The sequence below is a fragment of the Homo sapiens genome, chromosome 7 (assembly GCF_000001405.40).
Source record: "Homo sapiens chromosome 7, GRCh38.p14 Primary Assembly".
NCBI classification, from domain to species: Eukaryota; Metazoa; Chordata; class Mammalia; order Primates; family Hominidae; genus Homo; species Homo sapiens.
The window spans coordinates 5,118,089-5,144,818 of NC_000007.14; the positions used below are offsets into that span (position 1 = coordinate 5,118,089).

General features: G+C 50.0%; 1 pseudogene across 1 annotated transcript, besides 1 other annotated feature; it reads right to left on the reverse strand.

Annotated features, from left to right (window-relative positions):
- ZNF890P (zinc finger protein 890, pseudogene) lies at positions 3,222-26,458 on the reverse strand (annotated as a pseudogene). Its single transcript, NR_034163.1, has 6 exons — positions 26,159-26,458; positions 18,467-18,601; positions 14,360-14,401; positions 9,529-9,655; positions 8,742-8,837; positions 3,222-4,135 (listed from the first exon to the last, which is right to left on the reverse strand). The product of NR_034163.1 is annotated as a zinc finger protein 890, pseudogene (transcript).
- Positions 25,946-26,005: an enhancer, noted in NCBI's record as "active region_25570". NCBI's record gives its function as "activates an Ori minimal core promoter by ATAC-STARR-seq in GM12878 lymphoblastoid cells {active_cell/tissue: GM12878}" and the evidence as "EXISTENCE:reporter gene assay evidence [ECO:0000049][PMID:35858748]".
- Positions 26,459-26,730: the final 272 nt, after the last annotated feature.

The window sequence follows — 26,730 nt, forward strand, 5'->3', positions numbered from 1 at the left end:
GGTGGATTTTGCCTGATGCTGGGTGCCAGGCGGTGTCTGTCCTGAGATTTCTCCCACTGAGGGGAATCTCACCATTCTGGAGCCATCTAAGCCTCCCCAACGCCTACGGGGTGTAAATCTAAGTATAGCACGCAAAGACCAGCAATCCGACTCCAGCCTAGCGCTGCTGTGTCCGTTGACGTCTTGCGCTGGATGGTTCTTTGCTGTTGGGGGATGTCCCATGCGTTACAAAGTGCTCGGCCGCGCTCTGAGTCTTTCTCTATTCACTGGATGCCGGTGGCACCCTCCACCCCACTACCCTGTGTGATAATCAAAAATGTTCTTGGGCTTGGCGCAGTGGCTCATGCCTGTAACCCCAGCACTTTGGGAGGCCAAGGCAGGAGGATCTCGAGTCCAGGAGTTTGAGACCAGCCTGGCTAACACAGTGAAACCCCGCCTCTACAAAAATTGTCCAGGTGTACTGCTGTGTGCCTGTAGTCCCAGCTAAGTGGGAGGCTGAGGCAGGAGGATCACTTGAGCCCAGGGGGTGGAGGCTGCAGTGAGCTATGATTGCAGGACTGTACTCCAGCCTGGGTGACAGAGCAAAGCCCCATCTCAAACAAAAAAATACCTCCTGAAGGGCCCATTTAGGAGCCAGGAACCTCAGAGGCATGGTCAGTGCAGGTAACCTCTGCCTACCTAACCACCTGGCTGGTGGATGTGCACGCCTATCAAGGCTGATTGGGAAGAATTATGTCTACTCCAGTGAGGAGCACCAAGAAGGAAGCTGACAATGGCTTCAGGAGTCTTGGGAAAGAGGAAGAGTCTCTTCATACCATTTCCATCCTTATCTGTGGCTTCTTGAGGCTGGTGTCAGGAAACCTGAAACACAAAAGCCCTAGCCCTGGAGCAGAAGAGCCTCCCAGCCTTCTCCCCAAATGCTACCGGTATATGGAACATGATCACCCCTAAACAGATTTAAGACAGCTGGTTTTTTTGTGTGTATGCATTTTGCTTTGTTTTGTTTTTTTTTTGTTTTTTAGATGGAGTCTCACACTATTGCCCAGGCTGGAGCGCAATGGTTCGAACTCAGCTTACTGCAACCTCCGCCTTCTGGGTTCAAGCGATTCTCCTGCCTCAGCCTCCCGAGTAGCTCGGATTATAGGTGCCCACCACCATGCCCAGCTAATTTTTTGTATTTTTAGTAGAGACGGTTTCACTATGTTGGCCACGCTGGTCTTGAACTCCTGACCTTGTGATCCGCCCGCCTTGGTCTCCCAAAGTGCTGGGATTACAGGCATGAGCCACCACACCTGGCCTACGACAGCTCTTTTTAAGGACTTTTTTAGAGCAGTTTAGGTTCACAGCACAATTGAGAGGAAGGTACAGAGACATCCCATTTACCCCTGTCCCTGAACAAGATGCACTTCACTGAGGTTATGTTAGATTCCAGAGAAACATTGGTTGAGGGACTCTTCTTTCCAAAATATTTTTGCTTCCAAAAGCTGTTTCAAACACCACAACACCAAAACCCTGTTTTGGGTTTTTTGGTTTTTTTTTTTTTTTTTTTTTTTTGAGACAAAATCTTGCTCTGTCATGCAGGCTGGAGTGCAGTGGTGTGATCTCGGCTCACTGCAACCTCTGCCTCCTGGGCTCAAGCAATTCTCTTGCCTGAGCCTCCCAAGTAGCTGGGATTACTAAGATTACGGGCATGCACCAGCATGCTCGGCTAATTTTTGTATTTTTCATAGTGATGGGGTTTCACCCTGTTGGCCAGGCTGGTCTCAAACTCCTGACCTCAGGTGATCCGCCCACCTCAGCCTCCCAAAGTGTTGGGTTTACAGGTGTGAGCGACCGAGCCCAGCCAGAAATACAAACTAGTTGACTGTGAGTTATCAGATGTCATGAAATTGTTAGCTTCCAGGTTCAGGGGCTCTGTGATACGTGACGACAAACAGAAGAAATGGTATGTGGTGCTGCAGTGGGCCTCCCTGGTTTAATAATATGTTCATCTTATTCCAGTTCTGTATCACAAATACAGAAGGGTATAATTTAGCATAGAAAGTCTCCATAGATCTTCTATATATTATGGTATGTATGTCTACAGATTCACAATTATGTTCTGTTCACCAGTGCAACACAAAAATAAAAATTACCTGTCTGTAGCACACTCGGAACACACCCCTGCGTCCCTCTGGGATGTTCTCATGCTTTTTAGATCTGTTAGTCGTAATGATTTCATTTCTTCCCATAGCCTGGGCAACAAGAGTGAAACTCCATCTCAAAAGAAAAAAAAACTTCATATCCACAGTTGTCTTTATAATTAAGTATAGACTGGCTAAAGTGGCTCAGGCCTGTAATCCCAGCACTTTGGGAGGCCGAGGTGGGCAGATCATGAGATCAGGAGTTTGAGACCAGCCTGACCAACATGGTGAAACTCCATCTCTACTAAAAACAAAAAGTTGGCCAGGCACGCTGGCGGGCACCTGTAATCCCACCTACTCGGGAGGCTGAGGCAGGAGAATCACATGAACCTGGGAGGCAGAGGTTGCAGTGAGTCGAGATTGCACCACTGCACTTCAGCCTGGGTAACAGAATGAGGACTCTGTCTCAAAAAAAAAAAAAAAAAAAAAAAGTATACTTACAAAAATAGATCACTCTAGCATACCATCACCCTTCCGTCGTTAGTTTTAACAGACCATGCTTTTTTGTTGTTTGTTTTTGAGACTGAGTCTCACTCTGTCACCCAGGCTGGAGTGCAGTGGTGCGACCTCCACTCACTGCAATCTCCGCCTCCCGGGTTCAAGCGATTCTCCTGCCTCAGCCTCCCGAGTAGCTGGAATTACAGGCGCCTGCCACAATTCCCGGCTAATTTTTTGTACTTTTAGTAGAGCCGAGCTTTCACCATGTTGGCCAGACTGGTCTTGAACTCCTGACCTCAGGTGATCCACTCGCCTCGGCGTCCCAAAGCGCTGGGATTACAGGCGTGAGCCACAGCGCCCAGCTGACCATGCCTTCCTTAAGCCACCAAAGTGGCCGAATTTCACCCCGATATGGGACCTCTGCCTAGGGTGGCGTCGTAGTTTTGGTTGAGGGCTGTTTCCCTGGCGATGTCCCTCCTAGAGGTTCGGCGACCTCGTGATGTGACTTTGTGACGATCCCACGGTCTCTTCACCCATGCAGCTTCTCCCTCGTGTGGATCCCGTGGTGGCGGATGAGGTTCGCCTTCCGGGAGGTCTTCCCGCAGTCGGAGCACTCGTACGGTTTCTTCCCCGCGAGTCCGCCTGTGGGTCAGGAGGCAGGAGTCCTGGGAGCAGCTTTCCCGCACTCCGCGCAGCCGCAGGGCTTCTCCCCCGTGTGAGTCCTCTGACGCAGGATGAGGTGTGACTTCTGGAAAAAGGCCTTTCCGCATTCCCTGCAGCCGCAGGGCTTCTCCCCCGGGTGGGAGCGAAGGTGCTCGATGAGGCGCGACTTGTGGGAGGTTTTCTCACACTCCCAACACTTGTAAGGCTTCGCTCCGGCGTGAACTGTGCCCGGGACACACAGGCGTGTCTTCCGGAAGATCGTTTTACCACTTCTGTCTCTAGCGGGTTTCTCCTTTGTGTGAGTTCCCTGTTTGTCAGGGCAAAGCTTCTCCCTGAAACCACTCCCCCGTTCACTGCACGCAGAGGACTTCTCCCCCGCGTGGACCCCGTGATGTACCCTGAGGTCCGATCTGCAGCACAAGGCTTTCCCACACTTCGTGCATTCGTGGGGTTTCTCACTACTGGCTCCCTGAGCTGCAGGAACTCCCTCGTCACAGCTTAAAGCACTGCCACACTGGTGACCTCCGCGTGGATTCGCTCCTGAAGGTGGAGTTTCAAGTTTCGAATAGAGAAGTTTCCGTGGCCGTCGCACTGAAATCTCCTCCTCGCCAGGTAGGCGTTAGGAGTGAAGTCCAGGTTACACATCAAACTCTTTCTGCACAAGTCACGTGTGCGGACCTGCTGTTTTGATGGAAGGAGGTTTGGGTTCTGATGGAGTTTTTTTCCAAGTTCGTTACATTCATGAAGCTCATTTCCGGTCCAGTCTTTCTTGTCTAGAAACGTATGGCTCAAATGTTGGTCTTCGTGTTGCTGTTGGCTATCTGGCTGGGTAGCAACTTGCCAAACTTCTTCTAGAAAAAAAAAAAACAAAACCACAAACTCGTGGTTTTTTTTTTCTTTGAGACGGAGTCTTACTCCATTGCCCAAGCTGGAGTGTACTGGCATGATCTTGGCTCACTGCAACCTCTGCCTCCCAGGTTCAAGTGATTTTCCCGCCTCAACCTCCTGAGTAGCTGGGATTACAGGTGCCAGCCACCATGCTCAGCTAATTTTTGTATTGTTAGTACAGACAGGATTTCACCATGTTGGCCAGGCTGGTCTTGAACTCCTGACCTCAGGTGATCTGCTGGCTTCCGCCTCCCAAAGTGCAGGGATTACAGGCGTGAGCCACCGCACCTGGCCATAAATTTGTTAATCTTGGAGTACTGTATCACAAAACTATTGCAGAAAAGCTTGAAGGGAGGATTCATTTTGTGGTTTTAAGCCTAATTGCCTGTAATCCCAGCTACTCAGGAGGCTGAGGTGGGAAGGTCGCTTGAGCCTGGGAGGTTGAAGCTGTACTGAGCCATGATCACACCACGGCACTCCAGCCTGGGTGATGGAGTGAAACTCTGTCCCAAAAAGTAGTAAAACCAAGTGCCCGGTCCCTTTCTTGAGGCCTAGGTTACACAGAGGCCTTCACTATCCACCCTTCCCATGTTCTCCCGACCTATGCTCCCTTTCATTCTGTATACCAACTGGATTTTCTCAAAGCATGAGGTCCTTTTTGTTGTTGTTGAGATGGAGTCTCACTCTGTCGCCAGGCTGGAGTGCAGTGGCGCAATCTCGGCTCACTGCAACCTCAGCCTCCTGGGTTCAAGCGATTCTCCTGCCTCAGCCTCTCAATTAGCTGGGATTACAGGCACCCACCACCACGCCCAGCTAATTTTTTGTATTTTTAGTAGAGACAGGGTTTCACCATGTTGGTCAGGCTGGCCTCAGGTGATCTGCCTACCTGGACATTCCAAAGTGCTGGGATTACAGGCTTGAGTCACTGCACCCAGCCATGAGCTCTTTATTGTTAAAGGAATTATCTTAGAGCTAGCGGCATTTTCTGCAGTGACTTATTCTCACGTGGACCTATGGATCTTTATGATGTCCAACAGAAGAATACTAGAGTACACACAAGCCATCCTGGCCTCAGATTCCCTGCTGTCTCCTGATGCCTGTATTACCACTTGTTTTTGTTTTGGTGACAGGGTCTCACTCCGTCACCCAGGCTGAAGCATGGTAGTACAATCATGGCTCATTGCAGCCTCAAACTCCCGGGCTCCAACGATCATCCCACCTCAGCCTTCCAAGTAGCTGGGACTACAGGTGCATGCCACCATGTCCAGCTAGTTTTTAAAATTGTTTTTGTAGATACGGGGGTCTCACTATGTTACCCAGGGTTGTCTTGAGCTTCTGGCCTCAGGCGATCCTCCTGCCTTGGCCTCCCAATCAGCTGGGATTATAAAAATTAGCCAGGCACGGAGGCTCATGCCTAGTTTCTTTTTTTGTAGAGATGGAGTTTTGCTATGTTGCCCAGGCTAGTCTCGAACTCCTGGCCTCAAGCGATTCTTTTGCCTCAGCCTCTCCAAATGCTGAGATTACAGGCATGAGCCACCACACCTGGTGTATCTTCATTTGCATTTTAAACTAAAGATGCTACCTGCTGCCTCACCTGTGAGGCTCATGTCCGACTCAAGGGTGTCACTCCTCTATTTAGAAGTTCCTGGCTGGGTGCAGTGGCTCAAGCCTGTAATCCCAGCACTTTGGGAAGCGAACATGGGCAGATCACCTAGGGTCAGGAGTCTGAGACCAGCCTGGTCAACATGGTGAAACCCCATCTCTACTAAAAATACAAAAATTAGCCAGGCATGGTGGCGCACGCCTGTAATCCCAGCTACTTGGGAGACTAAGGCAGGAGGAGTGTTTGATCCCGGGAGGCAGAGGTTGCAGTGAGCCAAGACTGTACCACTGCACTCCAGCCTGGGCGACAGACAACGACTCTCTCAAAAAAAAAAAAAAAAGTTCCTGGCCAGGCGCAGTGGCTCACACCTGTAATCCCAGCACTTTGGGAGGCCGAGGCAGGTGGATCACCTGAGGTCAGGAGTTCGAGACCAGCCTGACCAACATGGAGAAACCCCGTTTCTACTAAAAATACAAAAAAATTAGCCAGGCATGGTGGCACATGCCTGTAATCCCAGGTACTCGGGAGGCTGAGGCAGGAGAATCCCTTGAACTTGGGAGGCAGAGGTTACAGTGAGCCAAGATCACACCACTGCACTCCAGCCTGGGCAACAAGAGCGAAATTCCAACACAAAGAAAAAAAAAATAGTTCCTGAGCTGAACTGCTGATTTTTTTTTTTTTTTTTTTTTTTTTGAGATGGAGTCTCAGCTCTGTAGCCCAGACTGGAGTCCAGTGGCGCGATCTTGGCTCACTACAAGCTCCGCCTCCCAGGTTCACACCATTCTCCTGCCTCAGCCTCCCAAGTAGCTGGGACTACAGGCACCTGCCACCAAGCCAGGCTAATTTTTTTTATTTTTTATTTTTTAGTAGAGACGGGGTTTCACCATGTTAGCCAGAATGGTCTCGATCTCCTGACCTCATGATCCGCCCGCCTCAGCCTCCCAAAGTGCTGGGATTACAGGCGTGAGCCACTGCGCCCAGCGGAACTGCTGAATTTCTGAGAGGTAAAGAGCACCTGTTCATCTCCGCCATCAGATTTCTAGGGTGAGACCCATCCAGGGGTATTTTTAAAGCTCCCCAAGTAATTTTCGTGTGGATCATCAATTAATTAGCAGCGTCCTGAACAAACACGTGAGAAAGAATCCTTGTCCTGATCCAAAGAGAGATTAAAGGAGTGTCCCCCAGAGCTTCTCGAAGAAACACGGACAAATGAAATAACAGCTCTTCTCCCCATGGGGTTATACTGAGTACAGCCCATTAGGCAGAATGGAGCCATATTACATGGTTTTGAAAGAAGAATTTAAAAGTCATATAAAAGGTAATGTAGTAGGCTGAATAGTAGAGTAACCAGATGCGTGAAGTAGACAAAGTTGACATTAACCTCTAAGATCGGCCAGGCACAGTGACTCACACTTGTAATCCCAGCACCTTAAGAGGCCGGGGTGGGAGGATCGCTTGAGCCCAGGAGTTCAACACAATCCTGGGCAACATCGTGAGACCCCATCTCTACAAAAAAACCTTGAAGATGAGCCAAGTTTTTCTTTCTTTTTTTTTTTTTTAAGAAACAGGGTCTCGCGTGATCATAGCTCACTGCAACCTCGACCTCCTGGACTCAAGCGATCCTCCAGCCTCAGCCTCCCAAAGTGCTGGGACTACAGGTGACAGCTGCCATGCCTGGAGGGTTTAATTACTTCTGATTCCATTACTGGTGCCAGCTGATGTTCGATTTTTGTTTTTTTGAGATGCGGTCAAGCCTGTTGCCCAGGCTGGAGGAACCACAGCTTATTGCAGCCTCAACCTCCTGGGCTCACGTGATCCTCTCCCCTCAGTCCCCGATTAGATGAGACTACAGGCGCGTGCCACCACACCCGGCTAATTTTTGTATTTTTAGTAGAAATGGGGTTTCACCCTGTTGGCCAGGCTGGTCTCAATCTCCTAAACCCATGTGATCTGCCTGCCTCAGCCTCTCAAAGTGCTGGGATTGCAGGTGTGAGCCACCATGCCTGGCCCCTGAATAAGCATTTAATAGAAAATAACCCAGCCCCTTCGTTTTCTGCAGCAGAAACTTGGTGATCAGCATGAATCAACGCCACACGAAGGTGAGCTGGGAGAGAGACAGCAATGATTTAACCTCATCAAGTTGGCCAGGTGCAATGGCTCACGCCTGTAATCCCAGCACTTTAGGAGGCCGAGGCGGGCGGATCACGAGGTCAGGAGATCAAGACCATCCTGGCCAACATGGTGAAACAGGATCTCCACTAAAAATACAAAAATTAGCCAGGTGTGGTGGTGCGCGCCTGTAGTCCCAGCTACTCGGGAGGCAGAGGTTGCAGTGAGCCGAGATCACGCCACTACACTCCAGTCTGGCAGACAGAGTGAGACTCCATCTCAAAAATAGTCATTAAGTACACTAAAGGACAGGAATAGCTTTCACCAGTTTGTGGGTATTAAGAAGAGAAAGGGGACTAAATTTTACGTGTAGCAAAGATGTTTTTGAGGCATTTCACAGTGAAAGAAAAAGATGAAAACAACAAATGGCACGCCCAGCCAAAATCCCAGGCTTTTAAGAACAGTTGCCTGAAACAAGAGGACATCCGGCCAGGCGCCATGGCTCACACTTGTAATCCCAGCACTTTGGGAGGCCAAGGCAGGTGGATCACCCGAGTTCAGGAGTTTGAAACCAGCCTGACCAACATGGTGAAACCCAGTCTCTACTAAAAATACAAAATAAGTCACGCATGGTGGCAAGCGCCTGTAATCCCTGCTACTCAGGAGGCTGAGGCAGGAGAATGGCTTGAACCTGGGAGGTGGAGGTTGCAATGAGCTGACATCGCGCCACTGCACTCCAGCCTGGGCAACTGAGTGAGACTCCATCTCAAAAAACAAAACAAGACAACATCCATGGGTTCTGCTTTGCAGACTTCCAGGAACCTCATCCCCCGGCCCCCTGCAGGCCACCCGCTCACCTGGGAAGCTCCACGTCCTTATCTCTTCCTCCTCCATCCATGGCTCCTTCCCCTGCTCCAAACTGGAGATCACAGCTGGTTTGCTGACTTGACACCCTGTTGGGGAGAAACAGTTAAAGGATTTGTGCTGAGCCAGCTGGGCCTTCCAAGCAAGCAGACAGTTCAGCCTGCAAAACAAAAGGTGGACGTCTCAGCCACATAAGAGCTGTTTCGCTTGGCAGGATAACTTCACGAGGACTCCAGTGGGATCGAGACTCTGACCACTGAAACCCAAGGCCAAGCACTTTTATTTTTCACACAGGGTCTTGCTCTGTTGCCCAGGCTGGAGTGCAATGGCACAATCACAGCTCACTGCAGCCTCAATCTCCTGCACTCCACTCAAGTGGTCCTCCTGTCTCAGCCTCCCGAGTAGCTGGGACTACAAGCATGCATCACCACCCTCAACTAATTTTTTAATTTTTTTGTAGAGATGGGGTTTTGCCATGTTGCCCAGGCAAGTCTTGAACTCGGGCCTCAAGTGATCCTTCCATTTGAGACTCGCAAGTAGCTGGGACTGCAGGCACATGCCACCATGCCTGGCTAATTTTTTATTTCTCGTTTGTATAGATCGGGTCTTGCACCTGTAGCTCAAGCAATCCTCCCACCTCGGCCTCCTAAAGTGCTGGGATCACAGGCATGAGCCACCATGCCCAGCTTAGCCCTTTTAGTGCGTGAGCAGTTTCCCAGTTTTATACAACTAAGAAAAAGAGTTCATGTAACCCGAGGACCACGGGGAAGTCTTCCTCACCCACAGAGAGCAGGTGGCTGTAGATCTCCAGCATCACATCCTGGTACAGGGTCCTCTGCTCCAGGTCCAGCTGCTGCCACTCTTTCCGGGTGAAGCCCACAGCCACGTCCCCGAATGACAGTGACCCCTGGAACAGCACATGGCTGATTAATGTGGAGTGGTTGGCACTGGGTACCATGGCAAAGGCGTAGAGGAGATTGATCTTAAACCTTCCGACGTCAGCTTTCCCCATATTAGGTTACATAGGAAGCTGAGCACACCCCTAACTTTGTACTACACTTTGTGGAAGAGAAAAAAATAATCATTAGAAAAAAAATCTCGACTGGGTGCAGTGGCTCACGCCTGTAATCCCAGCACTTTGAGGGGCTGAAACGGGTGGATTGCTTGAGGTTAGGAGTTTGAGACCAGCCTGGCCAACATAGTCAAATCCCATCTCTACAAAAAATATATTAGATGGATATGCTGGTGGGTGCCTATAATCCCAGCTACCAGGGAGGCTCAGGCAGGAGAATTTGTTCAACCCAGGAGGCGTACGTTGCAGTGAGCCGAGATCCCGCCCTTGCACTCCAGGCTAGACAACAGAGTAAGACTCCATCTTAAAAAAAAAAAAAAAAAAAAAGCATGTGAGGGTTGGGGGGCTTTCGTCACTGTGGCAGAGGTCAAGGGGGGATGCTGGGTAGAAAGAGCTGCAGTGGGTCCCCCGGACACATGCTGCTGGAGTGGTGAGGGATGTTCATAGGCAAATGGGTGACCCAAAGTGTCCCCAATGGTGAGACAAGCGCGTGCAGAGGAGGGGCAGGAAGCAGGGCACAGCCCAGGGGCAGCAGCAGGGACCGGGAGCTATGTGGGAGTGGGGAGAGGCAATCCACAAAGAAGCCCAGAGCTCTGATCACCCTACGGACCCTGGGTTCTCTTCCAGACCACACTCTGATCTCTAGAAAACTTATGACCAAGGGCTAAAGGCTGCTGAAGCCAGTGACTTGTTTTTTTGAGATAGGGTCTCACTGTGTTGCCCAGGCTGGAGTGCAATGTGCAATATCAGCTCACTGCAACCTCCGCCTCCTGGGTTCAAGTGATTCTCCTGCCTCAGCCGCCCAAGTAGCTGGGATTACAGGCACACGCCCAGCTAATTTATGTATTTTTAGTAGAGACAGGGTTTCACCATGAGGCCAGGCTGGTCTCGAACTCCCGACCTCAGGTGGTCCAGCTACCTCAGCCTCCCAAAGTGCTGGGATTACAGGTGTGAGCTATCATGCCTGGCGTCTACGTAGTGTAGTATATGTATATACATTACATATATATATATATATATATATATATATATATATAATCAATGTAGTTTACATACATGTATATATATATACAATGTCTACATAGTTTTTATACATACACATACAATGTCTACATAGTTAATTCATGTCTTTGTAATTTCTATGTAATTTATTCATACATAATTTCTATATAAATATATAATTTCCATGTAAATATGTAATTTCTATAGATATGCCTCTTATGGGTTTATTCATGAAATAACATATGAAAAGCACAGAGACCACAAAAGTGCTGGACAGACAGCGTTTAACGCGGTCATTGTCATCTTCAGTACACAGACTGCCCTAACACAGAGTCACTCCCAGTGGGATTTGCCTTCCTACAGTGGCTTCTGGCTGGGCACGGTGGCTCATGCCTGTAATCCTAGCACTTTGGGAGGCTGAGGCGGGCAGATCACGAGGTCAGGAGATCGAGACCATCCTGGCTAACATAGTGAAACCCAGTCTCTACTAAAAATACAAAAAAGTTAGCCAGGCATGGTGGCAGGCGCCTGTAGTCCCAGCTACTCGGGAGGCTGAGGCAGGAGAATGGCATGAACCCAGGAGGCAGAGGTTGCAGTGAGCCGAGATCGCGCCACTGCACTCCAGCCTGGGCGACAGAGCAAGACTCCATCTCAGAAAAAAAAAAAAAAAAAAAAACCAACAGTGGCTTCCAAGAAAGACAACAAGCGAAACCTCCAGCTTCACCCACAGGGCGGGTGTGGCTCGCCACCTTGTTCTAGCCTCTCCTACTGCTCTGAGACATTTCTGGTGTGAAACACCTAGACATCCCTGGCTTCACAAAGCACAAAGAAACCCAGGCTCTGTGAACGTTTTCCTTCCTGGAGTGGACAGTGGTAATGTTCACGAGGCCTCATCTTCCTCTGGGACCAGGCCCTTCCTGCCCCTGTGCACAGCTGCCTGGACAGAGGGCCTAATACACCTGAGCTAGGCTGGACCAACAGAATCCTCCCCGAAAAGCTTTCAAAATTGGATCAGTGAAGGGAGATTCAGTCCCTCACAGCGGCAGAACTTGCAGCTGGGAGGAGAGGAGCTGGGGCTACGCTATTTCTGGCCACATAGAGTCAGCATGAGAAGAAAGTCACAGAAGTGCCGGGTGCAGTGGCTCACGCCTGTAATCCCAGCACTTTGGGAGGCCGAGGAGGGTGGACATGAGGTCAGGAGATCGAGACCATCCTGGCTAACATGGTGAAACCCCGTCTCCACTAAAAATACAAAAAATTAGCCAGGCATGGTGGCGGGCACCTGTAGTCCCAGCTACTGGGGAGGCTGAGGCAGGAAAATGGCGTGAACCCGGGAGGGGGAGCTTGCAGTGAGCTGAGATTGCGCCAGTGCACTCCAGCTTGGGTGACAGAGTGAGACTCCATCTCAAAAAAAAAAAAGAAAAAGTCACAGAGGCAGAGAACAGGGAACAAAGATTCCTGGCGATACCTGGTTTGCCAGATGCCTCTGGAGCCTGACTGCACACCTGCTCTTCCCAGGACTCGCATGCTGCCTTATAGATTTTTTTTTTTTTTTTTTTTTGAGACAGGCTCTCCCCTCTGTTGCCCAGGCTGGAGTCCAAAGGCACGATCACAGCTCATTGCAGCCTCGACCTCCTAGGCTCAAGTGATCCTCCCACCTTAGCCTCCCGTGCAGCTGGGAGTACAAGCATGTGCCACCACGCCTGGCTAATTTTTGTATTTTTTGTAGAGATGGGGTCTTGCCACATTACCCAGGCTGGTCTTGAACTCCTGGCCTCAAGCAATCCTCCTGCCTCAGCTTCCCAAAGTTCTAGAATTACTTTTTTTTTTTAAATCCTAACCTACTTCTAGTTGGATTTCTGGCTTTTCCAACTTCAAGGATTAGAACTTCTAACCAGTGCAGTCCACACTCACACATTCCTAGAACCCGGGGTGAAGAGCAGGAGGAGGAGAATGCTTCCAGGCTGATGGAAAACACTGATGTCACTCACATGCAAAGAGAGCTAACAGCCAAGTGGGCGGATCACCTGAGGTCAGGAGTTCGAGACCAGCCTGGCTAATATGATGAAACTCCATCTCTAAAAATACAAAAATTAGTCGGGCGTGGTGGCACATGCCTATATTCCCAGCTACTTGGGAGGCTGAGGCAGGAGAATCACTTGAACCCAGGAGGTGGAAGTTGCAGTGAGCCAAGATCGTGCCATTGCACTCCAGCCTGAGCAACAGAGCCAGACTCCATCTCAAAAAAATTTTTTTTAATTAAAAAAACCCATTATGGCAAGCAATTTCAGATGAGATCAGGCACGTTCAGGGTGGTGTGGCGGTAGACATGGCAGGCTGTTTCAAGAACACGCAGTTCATTCATTCGTTCCTCTAGATAATGCAGTGTTACATCCAGGTCACTTGGCACCGCACAAGGCTGTCTCTGTAGACCTGAGTGTTCGGCATCCCCAAACAACCAGAATCACAGACGGCTGCTTTGGCATAATATCTGCTGTTTATACAGAGAGGAAGAAAAGTCACAAGAGATTTCCTGTTGTGTTTCTTTCAAGATGGTTGTTATTGAGGAACGGGCCTGCTACATCTTGCATACAAAGATCAAATATATCTTTAAATGCCCTAAAGAGCTGTATTTCCCCTGAGAAGTAGACACGGTTGTCCAAAACAGACAACACAAGTCATACATTAGATGGAATCTGCCTGCGTTTTTAAAGTGACAGAAATGTCAGATATAAATTTACAAGGCATCGGGCTGGGCATGGTGGCTCATGCCTGTAATCCCAGTACTTTGGGAGGCCGAAGTGCGCGGATCACTTGAGGCCAGGAGTTCGAGACCAGCCTGGCCAACGTGGTGAAACCCTGTCTTCACTAAAAATACAAAAATTAGCTGTGTGTGGTGGCAAGTGCCTGTAAGGAGGCTGAGGCAGGAGAATCGCTTGAACCCAGGAGGCAGAGGTTGCAGTGAGCCAAGATTATGCCACTGTATTCCAGCCTGGGTGACAGAGCAAGACTCCGTCTCAAAAAAAAAAAAAATTTATAAGGCATCTCATAACTGCGGCAGCCTCTACAGTCTCTCCACCCTGCCCTTCCCACAACCTTGATCTTCCATTCTCTTCCTGTTTTCACCGATCCTGATTTCCGTTTGTATTTTGTTTTATCGGATACCCTTTTTTTTTTTTTTTTAAGACAGAGTCTCACTCTGTCACCCAGGCTGCAGTGCAATGGCACGATCTCAGCTCACTGCAACCTCTACCTCCTGGGTTCAAGTGATTCCCCTGCCTCAGCCTCCTGAGTAGCTGGGATTACAGGCTCGTGCCACCACACCTGTCTAATTTTGTATTTTTAGTAGAGACAGGGTTTCACCATGTTGGCCAGGCTGGTCTTGAACTCCTGACCTCAGGTGATCCGCCTACTTTGGCCTCCCACAGTGCTGGGATTACCAGCGTGAGCCACCACGCCCAGCCTTTATCAGTCATGTTCTTATGAGCATCCGAAATCCCTGCTAAAAAGGGCAGTAGAAAGAAATGCCACACTCACCTGGGCCATAGTTCTTCTTCTCTATTCTGGAAAAGCAGACACCTGTGAAGGCAGACATCAGGGTGGGGAGAGAGGATATGAGAGGCCACGCTTGCCCTTGGGCTCCCAATCAACTGCTGGGACCACCCCCGCCCTCTCCCAGGCGCAGGTGGGAGAAAACCTCCTCTGAAGGGTCCCCATTATCAAAGCAAAGCCCTCACCTTACAAATGTCATAGAGACTCAATCTTGTGAGGCCTTACTTGGATTTTTGTTTTGTTTTTTGAAATGGGGTTTCACTCTGTCGCCCAGGCTGGAACACAGTGATGCAATCACGACTCAATGCAGCCCTGGACTCCCAGGTTCCAGCGATCCTCCCACCCCAGCCTCCAGAGAAGCTGGGACTATAGGTGTGTCACATGCCCAGCTAATATATATATATATATATATATATTTTTTTTTTTTTTTTTTTGAGACAAGAGTCTTGCTCTTTCGCCCAGGCCGGACTGCAGTGACGCTATCTCGGCTCACTGCAAGCTCCGCCTCCCGGGTTCACGCCATTCTCCTGCCTCAGCCTCCCGAGTAGCTGGTACTACAAGCGTGCACCACCATGCTTGAATAATTTTTTGTATTTTTAGTAGAGACGGGGTTTCACCGTGTTAGCCAGGATGGTCTCGATCTCCTGACCTCGTGATCTGCCCTCCTCGGCCTCCCAAAGTGCTGGGATTACAAGCGTAAGTCACTGCGCCCAGCCATGCCCAGCTAATTTTTAAATTTTTTGGTAGAGACAGGGTCTCACTGTATTGCCCAGGCTGGTCTCAAACTCCTGGGTTCAAGCAATCTGCCTGCCTCAGCCTCCCAAAACCTTGGGATTACAGGGGTGAACCACCACGACTGACTGAAGTTTTTCTTAATGAGTATGTGCATCTGTGTCTCAGTAACCAATGTGCAATTTACTACAATCCCCACCCATTACCCAAAAATGTAATTACTAGAAATTTATTCTGAAGAAACAGGCCGGACACAGAGGCTCACGCCTGTAATCACCACACTTTGGGAGGCCGAGGCAGGTGCATCACCTGAGGTCAGGAGTTCAAGATCAGCTTGGCCAATATGGTGAAACCCCATCTCTACTAAAAATACAAATATCAGCCGGGTGTGGTGGCATGTGCCTGTAATCCCAGCTACTCAAGAGGCTGAGGCAGGAGAATCTCTTGAACTTGGGAGGCAGAGGTTGCAGGGAGCCAAGATTGCACCATACCACTGCACTCCAGCCTGGGCGACACAGCAAGACTCCATCCCCCTCAAAAAATTATAAGAAAACTTTTTTGAGGGGATAGGGTCTTGCTGTTGCCCAGACTGGAGTGCAGTGGCGTAATCTCGGCTTCCTGCGACCTGTGCCTCCTGGGTTCAAGTGATTCTCATGCCTCAGCCTCCCACATATCTGGGATTACAGGCACACACCAGCAAGCCTGGCTAATTTTTTGTATTTTTACTAGAGATGGGGTTTCACCATGTTGGCCAGGCTGGTCTCCAACTCCTGACCTCAGGTGATCCACCCACCTCAGCCTCCCAAAGTGCTGGGATTACAGGCGTAAGCCACCATGCCCGGCCTATTTTTATTTTTTGTAGAGGCCAGGCGCGGTGTTTCACCCCTGTAATCCCAGCTACTTGGGAGGCTGAGGCAGGAGAATCGCTTGAGCCTCTGAGGTGGAGGTGGCAGTGAGCTGTGATCGTACTACTGTTCTCCAGCCTGGGCAACAGAGTGAGACTCCGTCTAAAAAACCAAAACATATATATATGCTTTTTGTAGAGTCAGGGTCCCGCTATGTTGCTCAGGCTGGTCTCGAACTCCTGGCCTCAAGTGATCCTCCCGCCTTGGCCTCCCAAAGTGCTGGGATTACAAGCATGCATCACTGTGCCTGGCCTGTTTCTTGTTTGTATACATCAACTACAAACTACAGCACATGTAATAAGTTTGTAAACATACATCTATAAACAAAAAATTCTGGGCCAGGCACAGTGGCTCAAGCCTGTAATCCCAGCACTTTGGGAGGCGGAGGCGGGTGGATCACTTGAGGTCAGGAGTTCGAGACCAGCCTGACCAACATGGTGAAACCCCATCTCTACTAAAAATACAAAATTAGCCGGGCATGGTGGCGGGCGCCAGTAATCCCAGCTACTTGGGAGGCCGAGGCAGGAGAATCACTTGAACCAGGGAGGCGGAAGTTGCAGTGAGCCAAGATCGAGCCACTGCACTCCAGCCCGGGCAACAAAGAAAAACCCCATCTCAAAAAATAAAATAAAAAAGATTCTGAAGAAAAGACACAGAATATTAACAATGATTATCTTTGCATGGTAGGACTTTTGTTTGGTTGGTTTTGTTTTGGTGTTTTCTCTTCAGATAGGGTCTCGCTCTGTCGCCCAGGCTGGAGTGCAGTGGCACATTCACAGCTCACTGCAACCTCTGCCTCCCGGGCTCAATTGATCCTCCGGCCTCAGCCTCCCAAGTAGCTGGGACTACGACACATACTACCATGCCTGGCTAATTTTTGTATTTTTTGTGGAGACAGGGTTTCACCATGTTGCCCAGGCTGGTCTCGAACTCCTAGGGGCTCAAGTGATCCTCCTGCCTCAGCCACCCAAAGTTGCTGGTATTACAGGCATGAGCCGCCTCACTGGGCGGATTTTTTTCTTAACATATTGATATTTTCTAATTTCTTCAACAAGAAATTGGTGCTGTTTCACATGTAAATATTTCATAACAATATACATGCATTTTACTGGGTTTTCTCCCCATGGGCTCCTATCAAAGTCCTTCCCCTGGTGAAAGGGAAGCCATGGGGAGGGCTGAAGGCAGAGAAGGTGGGACGGGCCAAGTCTTAGCCATGATTGTGGAACAGTGGAAGAAGAGCCTGTCTGGTGCTCGGGGGCCCTGGGTGTGAGTACTGGCTCACCCTCTACTGTGCGTGGCGGTTCTGAATGTCTCTCTCACACCCATTTTGTTTAGTCTTTGACGTGAGAAGGAGAAACAAAAAACTCAGGTTAAGAAAGCAAACTCTGGCCAGGCGTGGTGGCTCACGCCTGTAATCCCAACACTTTGGGAGGCTGAGGCAGGTGGATCACCTGAGGTCAGGAGTTTGAGGCCAGCCTGGCCAACATGGCAAAACCCCATCTTTACCAAAAATACAAAAATTAGCCGGGTGTGGTAGTGGGCGCCTGTAATCCCAGCTACTCGGGAGGTGGAAGCAAGAGAATCGCTTGAACCCAGGAGGCGGAGGTTGCAGAATGCCGAGATCAGTCACTTTAAAAAAAAAAAAAAAAAAAGATTGGCTCCCCCCGCAACCCCCACCCCAAAGAAAGCAAATTCTATGGCTTGACTATAGTGTAGGATCCAGGGACAGTGTGGTCCGGGCTTGTCCTCTGAGCACCAGGGACATGCTCTGGCCCTGAGCCCACAAACTTGTACTCCCTAAAGCAAGAGCCTCTTTCTCCTCCTAGCAAACCTTCCACTCAACTGAAACCTAGATGATCCCTCAACGTGACCACCCAGCAAACCCATGTTTGCTCTGTCCCCCAGCGGGCTGGGACCATTTCAGGCACATGGACCTTGGGTTTTTTTATGGAGTTTTGCTCTTCTTGCCCAGGCTGGAGTGCAGTGGTGCGATCTTGGCTCACTGCAACCTTTGCCTCCTGGGTTCAAGCGATTCTCCAGCCTCAGCCTCCCGAGTAGCTGGGATTATAGGCACCCACTACCACACCCAGGTAATGTTAGTATTTTTAGTAGAGACAGGGTTTTGCCATGTTAGCCAAGTTGGTCTCAAACTCCTGACCTCAGGTGATCTGCCCGCCTCAGCCTCCCAAAGTGCTGGGATTACAGGCATGAGCCACCATGCCCAGCCCCAGGTACATGGACCTTGGGAGCTGCCACCCTCCACGTGACCCTCCGGCTTCAGCCCTAAGCTATGTGAAGAGGTCTCAGAACTGGGGTCTCGCTTTCCAAAGTAGATTCCTGCTCCCCGTTGTCAAGTTCTTCACAGGAATGCTTTTACTCCCAGCATGCCTGGGTCTCGAACACTTGGGCAACTCCACTTGGCTGCCAAGGCTCTGCTCCCCTACTGAGAACTTACCTTCAGGTGGGGACTCAAGCTTCAGCCTCTGAGGTTCTCGGGACCAGGGTAGAAACAAGCTTGCTATGCTGAGAGGAGGGACCCACCTTGCTGACAAAGTCCGATCCTGAGCTTTTGCAAAGACACCAGGAAAACCTGAAATTAAAATGACGCAGGGAGGCTCACATGAAAATATTAGCACACCTGTCATCTCAGTACTTTGGGAGCCTGAGGCAGGACAATTGCTTGAGGCCAGGAGTTCGAGACCAGCCTAGTCAACAAACACCCCACCTCTACAGGGGGAAAAGAAGACATTGGCAGGGTTACCTTTACCGCTGATAGAGAGAAACCAATCTGTGGCAGAAGGGAAAGTCAGAAAGCCTAGAACACGAGACAGAGTCCATGCTCTGTTTCTGGCTTTGAAAATGGAGGGACCGGCTGGGCACGGTGGCTCACGCCTCTAATCCCAGCACTTTGGGAGGCCGAGGTGGGTGCGTCGCCTGAGGTTAGCAGTTGGAGACCAGCCTGGCCAATATGGTGAAACCCTGTCTGTACTAAAAATACAAAAATTAGCCAGGTGTGGTGGCGCACGCCTGTAATCCCAGCTACTAGGGAGGCTGAGGCAGGAGAATCACTGGAACGCGGGACGCAGAGGTTGCAGTGAGCTAAGCTCGCACCACTGCACTCCAGCCTGGGTGACAGAGTGAGATTCTGTCTCAAAAAAAAAAGGAGATCCCATTGGAAAGCAAGCTGGTGGGCTTCGGGAGCTGAGCATGGCCCCCAGCTGACAGCCAGCAAGGAATCGGGGACCTAAGTCTTAAGACAGAATTCTGCAAACCCCGAATGCACTGACAAGCAGATTCTTCCCAGAACCTCTGGCTAAAAGCCCAGCCCAGCCCACGCCTTTCTCAGAGCCTGATGCTACCTGGAGCGTGGAACCCATAGGTGAGGCCACCAGGATTTCTGACCTCCCAAACTCTGTGTTAGTAAGTGGGTGTGGTTTTAGTCACCAAATGAGTGGCAATCTGTCATACAACAATAGAAAATTACTACAGGCCAGGCACAGTGGCTCACGCCAGTAATCCCAGCACTTTGGGAGGCCAAGGCAAGTGGATCACTTGAGGTCAGGAGTTCAAAACCAGCCTGGCTAACATCGCGAAACCCTGTCTCTACTAAAAATACAAAAATTAGCCAGGCATGGTGGTGGGCGCCTGTAATCCCAGCTACCTGGGAGGCTGAGGCATGACAATCACTTGAACCCAGAAGGCAGAGGTTGCAGTGAGCCGGGATTGCACTGCTGTACTCCACCCTGGGTGACAGAGTGAAACTCCATCTCAAAAAAAAAAAAAAAAAATGGCAAGCATAAAGAGCAAACCTGAATACCAAAAGAAAAATATATATATTGCAGCCAGGCACGGTGGCTCACGCCTGTAATCCCAGCACTTCGAGAGGCTGAGGTGGGCGGATCATGAGGTCAGGAGATCAAGACCATCCTGGTTAGCACAGTGAAACCCTGTCTCTACTAAAAATACAAAAAAATCAGCTGGGTATGGTGGCAGGCGCCTGTAGCCCCAGCTACTCAGGAGGCTGAGGTAGGAGAATGGCGTGAACCCAGGAGGCAGAGTTTGCAGTAAGCCGAAATCGCACCACTGCACTCCAGCCTGGGCGACAGAGCAAGACTGTCTCAAAAAAAAAAAAAGAAAAGAAAAGAAAAGAAAAGAAAAATACATATATTGCATAGATCCCACTGACTCAAAAAACAATACAATTAGAAAATAAAAAGAATGCAAAAAAAAATTAAATCACCAAATATGAAATGAATCCATACTCAAAAATATTCCCAAAGAAACACGAGGCCTATATGTTTTTCAGGAATTTTATAAAACTGTCTTCAAGACTTTTGCAATGTGTATAAGTGGTTTATTCAGGTTTTCTATATGTCAGTCAATTTTAGCAATTTACAATTTTCTACAAATGTGTCTTACTTAATTTCAGAGTTATGCCATTAAATGATTTATAGTAACATCTCATTTTTTAAAAATCTACTGGCCAGGCACGGTGGCTGATGCCTGTAATCCCAGCACTTTGGGAGGCCAAGGCAGGTGGATCACCTCAGGTGAAGAGTTCGAGACCAGCCTGGTCAACATGGTAAAACCTCGTCTCTACTAAAACTACAAAAAAAAAAATTAGCTGGACATGGTGGCACATGCCTGTAGTCCCAGCTACTCAGGGAGGCTGAGGCAGGAGAATTGCTTCAACCCAGGAGGTTGAGGTTGCAGTGAGCCAAGATCATGCCACTGCACTCCAGCCTGGGCGACAGAGGGAAACTCCATCTCAAAAAAAAAAAAAAAAAAAAAAAAGAAGGCCAGGCACGGTGGCTTACGCCTGTAATCTCAGCACTTTGGGAGGCTGAAGAGGGCAGATTGCCTGAGGTCAGGAGTTCGAGACCAGTCTGGCCAACATAGTGAAACCCCATGTCTACTAAAAATACAAAAAAATTAGCCGGGCATGGTGGCGTGTGCCTGTAATCGCAGCTACTCCAGAGGCTGAGGCAGGGGAATTGCTTGAACCAGGGAGATGGAGGTTGCGGTGGAGCCAAGATCGCACTACTGCACCCCAGCCTGGGTAACAGAGCAAACTCCATCTCAAAAAATAAAAATAAATAAAAATAAAAATAAATCTACTGTATCTGAAATCATCTCATCTTCCATTCTAAAAATAGCTTATTTTGGCCAGGCACAGTGGCTCACACCTGTAATCCCAGCACTTTGGGAGGCCGACACGGGCAGATCACAAGGTCAGGAGATCGAGACCATCGTGGCTAACACGGTGAAACCCCGTCTCTGCTAAAAATACAAAAAATTAGCCGGGCGTGGTGGCAGGTGCCTGTAGTCCCAGCTACTCGGGAGGCTGGGGCAGGAGAATGGCATGAACCCAGGAGGTGGACCTTGCAGTGAGCCGAGATCGTGCCACTGCACTCCAGCCTGGGTGATAGAGTGAGACTCCATCTCAAAGAATAAAAAATAAAAAAATAAATAGCTTATTTCTATTCTCCCTTCATCAGTGCAGACTGAAGTTTGTCTAATTTATTAGTTTTAAATACAAATCAAATTTTTTTTTGGAGGGGGGAGGTTTAACAAATCCTTTCCAATAAGTGATTTTATTTTATTTATTTATTTATTTATTTATTTATTTTTTGAGACGGAGTCTCGCTCTCTTGCCCAGGCTGAAGTGCAGTGGCACAATCTCGGCTCACTGCAAGCTCCGCCTCCCGGGTTCACGCCATTCTCCTGCCTCAGCCCCCCGAGTAGCTGGGACTACAGGCGCCCACCACCACGCCCGGCTAATTTTTTGTATTTTTAGTAGAGACGGGGTTTCACCGTGTTAGCCAGGATGGTCTCGATATCCTGACCTTGTGATCCACCTGCCTCGGCCTCCCAAAGTGCTGGGATTACAGGCATGAGCCACCACGCCCGGCCCCAGTAAGTGATTTTAGCTTTTTAACTTTTTACTTGAGTGACTTGAGACTCAAAGGAAAGTCTCAAGAATAGTACAAAGAATTTCCAAATACCCTTCTCATCTAGATCTCCCAAATATTAACATTTTACCACATTTGCGCAGGCGGCTGATGAAAAAGGTCCCACCACAAGGTGGCAGAGTAAACACGACAGCACCTGGGCGAGGCTTTGTGCAGGCAGGAAGGCCCTCACACCAGAGGCCGTCCCAGGGCTGTGGCATGGGGGCCATTACCCAGGAGAGGGCACAGGGCCAGCTCCTGGGTATCTCTGAGAGCCTTAGGGTCCTTTTGTTGTTGTTGTTTTGATATGGAATCTTACTCTGTCACCCAGTCTGGAGTGCAATGGCACGATCTCCAACCTCCACCTCCCGGGTTCAAGCGATTCTCCTGCCTCAGCCTCCCGAGTAGCTGGGATTACAGGCCCCTGCCATTATGCCTAGCTAATTTTTGTAGAGACAGGGTTTCCCCATGTTGGCCAGGCTGGTCTTCAACTCCTGACCTCAGGTGATCCGCTTGCCTCAGCCTCCCAATATGCTGGGGTTAAAGGCATGAGCCACCGCTCCCAGCTAGCCTTGGGGTCTTAATAGCCACATGGTTTGTCTTATACATGGCCGGCAGATGTTGGGTACAGTTTCCCAGGTATGCACACCAAGAGATCTCTAAATCACTACAAATCTGCATGTACTTGGGCTATGATTCAAACAACTGGGGCCAGGCATGGTGCCTCACACCTGTAATCCCAGCACTCAGGGAGGCCAAGGCGAGAGGATCCCTTGAGCCCAGGAGTTCAAGGCCAGCCTGGGAAACATAGCGAGACCCGTCTCTATTAAAAAATAAAACAGGCCAGGCGTGGTGGGTCACGCCTGTAATCCCAGCACTTTGGAAGGCCAAGGCGGGTGGATCACGAGGTCAGGAGATCAAGACCATCATGCTAGCTAACACGGTGAAACCCTGTCTCTACTAAAAATACAAAAAATTAGCCAGGCGTGGTGGCGGGTGCCTGCAGTCCCAAACTACTCAGTAGGCTGAGGCAGGAGAATGGCGTAAACCCGGGAGGCAGAGCTGGCAGTGAGCCGAGATCACGGCGCCACTGTGCTCCAGCCTGGGCGACAGCTCAAAAAAAAAAAGATTTGTAACAAAATAAAACAACTGGGGCCAGGCATGGTGGCTTACACCTATAATCCCAGCACTCAGGGAGGCCAAGGCAAGAGGATCCCTTGAGCCCAGGAGTTCAAGGCCAAACTGGGCAACATAGCAAGACCCCTGTCTCTATTAGAAAATAAAAAAGGCCAGGTGTGGTGGCTCACGCCTATAATCCCAGCACTTTGGGAGGCCAAGGCAGGTGGATCACCTAAGATTAGCAGTTCAAGACCAGCCTGGCTGGTCTTGATGGTGAAACCATCTCTACTGAAACTACAAAAATTAGCCAGGTGTGGTGGTGGGTGCCCGTAATCCCAGCTACTGGGGAGGCTGAGGCAGGAGAATCACTTGAACGCGGGGGGCAGAGGTTGCAGTGAACTGAGATAGTGCCACTGCACTCCAGCCTGGGCAACAGAGCAAGACTGTCTCAAAAAAAAAAAAAAAATACTCAATTTAGGTTTAATGTCTCATGATTTGATTCAGGTGATACATTTGTGGCAGAAATTTTTTTGTTTTAACTTGCTCTATTTTTTTGTTTTAAGTGGGAAAACACTTTATTCCATAAAACAGAGTAAATGTTCCTCTCTTCCTTTTAATTTCTCCTCATATGCTTTTAGCTTTGGGGGTTTGCGCTTTTTCTCTTTTCTTTTCTTTTTTTTGAGACTGAGTTGCGCTCTGTCGCCCAGGGTGGAGTGCGGTGGCGCAATCTCTGCTTACCACAAGCTCCGCCTCCCAGGTTCACGCCATTGTCCTGCCTCAGCCTCCCGCGAAGCTGGGACTAGAGGCGCCCACCACCGCACCTGGCTGATTTTTTGTATTTTTAGTAGAGACGGGGTTTCATCGTGTTAGCCAGGATGGTCTCGATCTCCTGACCTCGTGATCCGCCCGCCTCGGCCTCCCAAAGTGCTGGGATTGCAGGCATGAGCCACCATGCCTGGCTTTTCTCTTTTTTAAATATCTTTTTCTGGGAGACACAGACTGGACAAATGGGAGTGGATGTGCCCTATTCCTTTTTATATGCTAACCACCTGAGCTGAATGTCATTAAGTTTCATTCTTTTTATTTAATACATATATTAGGACTACAATAAGTTAAAAAGAAAAAACTTAAATCAATTCTTGGAAAGGTTTTATTAAAACTAATAAAATAATTGGTTTGTATTTAAGATTAATAAAATCGACCAGAATCCAGGCACAATTGAGCAAGAGAAGGCATGAAAAAGACAATTTCAGATACGGTCGAGGTTTGATTTTTTTTTTTTTTTTTTTTTTTTTTTTGAGATAGGGTGTCACTCTGTCGCCCAGACGAGAGTGAAGCAGCATGATCTTGGCTCACTGCAACCTCCGCCTCCCAGGCTCAAGCGATTCTCTTGCCTCAGCCTCTTGAGTAGCTGGGATTACAGGCGTGTGCCACTACTGCCCAGCTAATTTTTTTGGGGGGGTATTTTTAGTAGACACGGGGTTTTACCACATTGGCCAGGCCGGTATCCAACTCCTGACCTCAAATGATACACCTGCCTTGGCCTCCCAAAGTGCTGGGATTACAGGAGTGAGCCACAGCACCCGGCCATGGTCGAGTTTTATAATTGTAAGATTACTCTAAGCCTGGCGTGATGGCTCATGCCTGTAATCCCAGCACTTTGGGAGGCCAAGGCGGGCGGATCACGAGGTCAGGAGTTCGAGACCAGCCTGACCAACATGATGAAACCCCATCTCTACTAAAAATACAAAAATCAGCCTGGCGTGGGGGTGCCCGCCTGTAATCCCAGCTATTTAGGAGGCTGAGGCAGGAGAATCGCTTGAACCGGGGAGTTGGAGGTTGCAGTGAGCTGAGATTGTGCCACTGCACTCCAGCCTGGGCGACAGAGTGAGACTCAGTCTCAAAAAAAAAGAAAAAAAAAGGAAAAGAAAAACCTCTTTCAGTAAGACCCAAGCGCAAGTGTGATAGAAAAACCACCATAAAAACATTTGCTCTTATCAAGATTTAAAACCATAGTACCAGTTTCATTCTCTCCCCAAATCAAGTGAGTTTCATCTTAAAAAAAGCATCAGACAGACATCCTCCGCCAACTCCATCACATCACACCACCCCGAGTGTTGCTCACCTTTCTTCACCAAGGGCTAGAAAAGAACAGTCTACACGGAACTGGCGCAGCCGCCTCCTTCTCCGCCAGTCTCCAACAGAGGTGCTGGCACTGTCCCGCCTTAGTCTGGCGTCTCCCGTCTCCCTACTCAATTTTCTCACACCCTCAGTCCAACCCTCATAACTCTACTTCCTGCAGGGGTACTTTGACCAACACCCAAATATGATCATGCCTCTGCCTTGAAGTACTGCATTTGCAGCTGGAGCAAGAGGGAGACCCCAGCCTCGGACCTTGCTGGTCAGGCCCCCACCCCGCCCCCAGCCTCACGGGGCGCCCCCCCTGTGCCGAGTCCTCAGTATCACCCATCATTACTCCTTAGGGATGCTCCTCCCTGGTCCTCAAAGACCCTATTGTCCTTTCATCTGCAACATCTTATTTTTCTTTAAGTCTGACCTGAAGTCAGTTGACCTTCCCCAGTTGAAACTGATCCTCCCTCCCCTGGGTGTCCATGCATCCTGACAGTTGAGGTAACTAACAGGGCGCCTACCCCTGGATCGCCCCCACATGTTAACGTGACCAACACCTCTGTAGGACTGCATCCAACGAGGGACCCCAGCTCCGTGCTCCCCCAGATCGGACCCAGGCACTCAGTAGATGTTTTGAATGAGCCCAGACGCCTGAAATAACCCCCCTCCACACCCTGCCTTCGTTTCCCTCCTAGCTCAGTGCCCACCACTGGCTGTGATCAGGGTTCTGCATGAGCCAGGTTGGAGAGGAAGAAGGGGGTTACCCTCTGCAAGAGACGGGGACTTTCCCCAACAGCCCCACTCTTCCCCCTAGAGACCCAGGCACCGCAGTGCAGTGGAGATCAGGGGCCTGGATGGGCAGAGAAGCTCCAGGGGAAGGGACGGCAACAAACCCACTCTTGGGGAAGAGCGGGGTCCCCTGTGCAGAGAACAAGCCCCCAGCTCACCCGCGTCCAAGTGGTCACAGTGGCAGGTGCCCTGCGCGAGCTTCCAGGGGACGGTGGGGTCCGAGGAGGCAGAGCTGCGGGGAGGGGCAGTGAGATGAGGGGCCAGCCGCTGCTCGGGACCCACCACTACCTGTGGCGTCCCCCAGCCCAACTTGGCAGCACCCGACAACCCGCGGAGACGTCTGGAGGAGCCGCCCCCAGGACCCCAGTGCAGTGCCGGCTCTGCAGCAAGTGGGTGCCGGCCACGCTGGCGCTGCGCACAGCCCGGGAGCCAAGACGCCGTTCCTCCCACACGTGTCTGAGGTGTCAGTCGCCATGGGAACAGCCTGGGGTCCGGAAGTGCGCGCATTGCAGTCTTGCACCTCAAAACACTGCGTAAAAGAACCCCCTGGGACTACAACTCCCAGAACCCCCCCACGATGCCATGATTCCGGTTAGGCCACCCTGCACTTCCAGCCACAGCCATGGCTGCAGTCACATGGGAGGTGGCCATGGGCTGGCAGGGTGTGGCGCTATGGCTCTGGCTGACACAGAGCTGGGGGTGAATGCGCCCTCTTACATGTCCCCCATGG